The following is a 4,751-nucleotide window of genomic DNA, read 5'->3' on the forward strand; positions in this document are numbered from 1 at the left end:
TTCCAGAAATTCTTGTTAGAATATCTAGAATAGAATGTTGGCTACATAATAATAGTTAACACTTACTAAATGTTTACCATATGGCAGATACTATTTTAAGTGCTTTACAGGATCCTCCTCATATAAACATACTTAACCTATTTTCTGTCACTAACTCCTTTGAGAATCTGGATCTTCCCCCCAACCCCCAAAAATATTTGCACTCAGAAGCACCCACATACCCTCCATTTTGTTATCTCTTACTGTGAAACAAACCATCGGATGCAAACCCAAAACAACAGCAGTGTTTTGTTTTGCTTTTTCTTAATTTCCCATGATTTTGTGGGTTGACAGGTGATTCTTCTGCTTCATCTGGTTTCAGCGGGAACACTGGGGCAGCTGGAAATTCCAAAATGCCCTCGCTTGTATGGCTGGCAGTTGGAGCTGGCTGTTGGCTCTTGGCCAAGAGCTTCATCTATCTTCCTCATGGGCCTCTCCATGTGGCTGCTTGGACTTCCTAACAGTCTAGTGGTCTCAGAGTAGTTGGAATTTTTACATGGCAGCTGGCTTCCTTCAGTGTATAAAATCTTAAGACTTGAGCCAGAACTGGCACAGAGTCACTTTCTCTGAATTCAGATTCACAGGGAGGAATCTACACAAGGGCATGACTACTGGGAGGCGTGGTTCATTGCAGGCCACCAAAGTTACAGCCTACCAAATACACAGGCAATTTAGTATAATTTCAAGAAGTACACACACCCCATCAATCCATTTAAGGATTTTAAGAAGGATATAAACTTTAGGTTAAAAACTCATGACTGAGGATGAAGCTGGGGGAAACCTTTAGCTCAACAAGCCTTGTGTAGAGAAGAATGGGGACCACCCTCACTGTAAAGGGAATTGCACACACACAAGTACATTGGTGGGACTGTGCATGGCATGTTCCAGGGACAAAGAGAGATCAGTTACCTACAAGACTAGGAATGAGGACTGGAATTGGATTATGTAATATTTTAAGAGGCAGCCTGTGGAGCTTGAACTTCATTCAGTAGGCACTGGGGAGCAATTGCAAGTTTTTTTTTAAAACAGGAGTAACAAATACAAATGCTGAAATAATTCAGGAGAATTACAGGAATTAAGAAATAAGGAGAATGGTGTAGAGGGAATTATGTTAGGGAGCTTTACGAGGTTGTGAAGTTTTAGCTCAGACATCAGTTTTAAAGTCAGGACTAACAAAACCGCCCTAATAAAGAATGAAAGCATAACAATTTACTATAGAAAAGGGTGTTGTAGTGCATCATGCAACAAATATATAACAATATAGGAAGCATTATATACTAGTATCATTTTGTTTGATTGGAGTAACAAAGAGCTCAGTCAGCCTTTATGGCTTTGGTTGATATGAAAACATAATCGAGCAGGGAATTTTTGGAATTACTTTCCACTCAGAGTTAATAGGGTTCTTGAGTATGGCTATAAAGGATAATGAGTCTAGAACTAAGACATTCTCATTTGGGTCTCTAAGAATAAACAAGAAGCCTATAGGGTCAGAGCCACTCCTGAACGTTAGCAGGTTACTTCGCATTAAGAGAGAGTGTAAAAACTACAACAAAAATCCTGGAGGGTGGAAAACCACAGTAGTTGTTCAATTTCTGTTTGCTCTCCCACTTGCCCTAAAATGACAGCTGCAATGGTATTTAGAGGATATATATCAGGGCTTGGGTAGGGGACACGTAAAAGCTCATGTTTATTTCAGGGGTGAATCTGCTTCTTGCTTTCTGAAGCCAACTCTGTTAGTTTTCTTTTGCATTCGGCTTTTGACTCCCTTGGGACCTGGAATGGCTCTGCCAAGTGAAGGGATAAATCATTGCTGATCTGTGCACCTTGACATTGGAGGTTCATTAGGTCTACTGGCCAATATTTGAGGGATTGAACAGGATGGAGCTGGGAGTGCTATCTAGGGGTATGGAATTAATCAAAGTCAATGAGGCCACAGGGATTTCTCAATATCAGTGGCTTCTCAAACTTAAGAAAAAAAAAGTCCATGCTATCTTACCCCCAGAAATGTTCATTTAATTTACCTGGGATGCAGCCTTGGAATGAGAAATTTTAAAAAACCTGACCAGGTGATTCTAATGGGCAGCTGCTACGAAGAGCCACTGCTTGATACCCTTTGCTTGTTAGTATTAGGTTCTTACCTATGGTGCTAACCAGCCATGGTTTTTGATTTTATAAGTATTAAAATCACTTGGGATAAACTGTTCTCAAGCACCTATTAGGAAATGAAGGATGGCAATAATAAGTACTGTATCTGTGACATCCAAAGTTATGGGCATGGGAAATGTAGATAATACTGGAATATTGTTTAGAGGATTTTTAGCTTTCTGCTTTCCTAACAGGTTTCTGTGGTGGATGCCACATAAAAACCAGCCTGGGAAATTCAGTGGCAATAACACTTGATCCAAGAATGAAAGAAAAAGAAGAAACAAACCCCACAGTTGTCTGATTTTATACTTAATGTGCCCTAGTGTTGGTGGAGTTTACATCTTGTCCTCTTGCCCATGCATGATTCAGGGAGTTCCAGCTTCTCTTCTCAGTAGTACATTATCACCTCTGGATTTTCATCCTCTCCTTAGCTGTTTATAATTATCACTTCCTTATTGCAATGCATAGTTTCTGACCTTCAATCTGCTAATTGTGCTTTTAAGCTCTGATTCCATTTTGGCTGTTCTGCACTGAATCTGGCCTTTCACCTCTCAAAATCTGTTTTCAACACCCCTCAGCTAGCATTGTAATCAATCAATTTCTCTCTCTCTCAATCCCCACCCCTTGATAATCCCATTTCATCTCTTCTTTTCTTCCAGCAACATAAATACAGCCTCTCAGGCAAAAGTCACATTCAATAACTTTTTGTTTCTATTTCCTATATTAGGGAACACATTTTTTTTTCTCCTCTCAACAGCAATAGTCTCTATGCTGACATAGCAAGAAGTTTGTTCTCAATATAGGAAGAGCTACAGATAAATGTGTGTGCCTGTATACGTAGACATACTGGGAGAGGCAAAGAGAGAAAGGATTTATCAGCTGAAATATGGACAAAGAGAACAGTCTATGCTGGGCTTGAAAACTATTTGGACAATCTGTCTTGACTTTGGTTGAAAACTTTTTGTATTGAATTGCCCTCTTGGGGTTTGAATCTATTCAAATTGATCTTTTCTATGAGTAGGCACATCATTTTAGAAATGTTTCTGTGAAGATGTGCTGTTTTCATGCTTAGGGAAGCACACTGCATGCTGAGTGAGACCGAAGGAAATGCCAAATTAATTCATTCTTTCTGTGGCAATGTTCTTTTCCCGGGAAAGGACTGCTTTAATAAGGCAGGTGGCTGTGTGTGCCATGGCGTGCCTGCCTCCGTAGGAAGCTTGGTAATCCTCTCCCAGGAAAACACAGCCTTGGTGTTTGTTGTGTGAGGCTCTTGAATGTAATATTAGTTTACAGTCCCACTCCTGGCCATATTATATAAACAGTGGGAGAAAAATGACAATGGAAATTTTGGCAGAGAATGCTTTATTTAAGCCTTTCAAAATGGACATTGTTGCGCATGGCTGTGGGTCTGTTGTCAGCGCCCTGCCTGAATGAGTGAATGGCTGCTGTTTGCAGCCAAAAGCAGGCGACGGTGGGGCCTCTTCAAACCATCAGTGCGACAATGTTATCAAGCGGCTGAGTCCCTGCTTCTCGTCAGTAAGCCATCATTATTCCTCATGAGCCAACTACAGGAGAGGGCCACTGTGACAAATACGCTATTATGTTGCATTTTAATGTGTGCCAATCAGCTTAATTCAAGCTCTGACATTCCTCTCAGGTACTGCTCTTTTCCACCGCAGCTGCCTGCATGCATCCTTCAGTTACAGTTCCGGAAGTTTCTATAAGCGTGAATAGGCACTGTGAGCAGCCACCTCCAAATAAATAAAAAGGAACTCAGCCCGTGGGATGGTTGAGCTTTTCCCAATTAAGCTTCATGATATATTTCAAAGTACTGTAAACATTGGTGGCTGAACAATTCTCACGTTCACTGATATATTTGGAGATCCAATACTGAGACATCTATCCAGTCATAATGAAATTCCATTGTCAGAGTTCGCCAAAGAGTCTATTGGTTTTTGGAGACTTTCAGGTCCTGTGAAGGCTTAATTTTGTTCTTTAGGGAGGGATGTAAAATGTGGTTGTGATATTTGCCATCACTTGACATTTTAGGCTTGGGTTTGGAGCCTCCAGAGATTGGTTATTTCCTCAGGGGCCTCATAACTTAACCTAAGATGGCCACTGCATAGTGGTGTGATCCCTCTGGGTCCCAGCAACCTGCCCTCCTGGGAGAAGATATGTCTGGGTCAGTGATCTTAGCAACATTTCTGTCCAAACCATGACTGTTCTATGGGGGGAATGCAGAAGAATTTCATTAAAATGTCTGAGCCTGATAGTCACTATATTTTTAAAAGTCTGAATGTATACTTCAAAACAAGGCTGTAAGAAACACACAGACTCTGGTAATAGACTCTTATCTTCAGGTAGTGTCACTGATACATCTGGACTTTATAGAGAAATAATTCACCTTGAATTTCCTAAATGAGATAGGACTTCCTTGGGATATTCTAGGCAGTCTTATGTCAAAAGACTTTTAGCTCGTGCTCTACTGGGATGTCCCTTTAGCCCAGGGTTTTCAAATGGCGTGATGAACTACCAAGAAGAGAGAATAATACGGACAACATAGTGAA

The sequence above is a fragment of the Homo sapiens genome, chromosome 12 (genome assembly GCF_000001405.40).
Source record: "Homo sapiens chromosome 12, GRCh38.p14 Primary Assembly".
Lineage (NCBI taxonomy): Eukaryota > Metazoa > Chordata > Mammalia > Primates > Hominidae > Homo > Homo sapiens.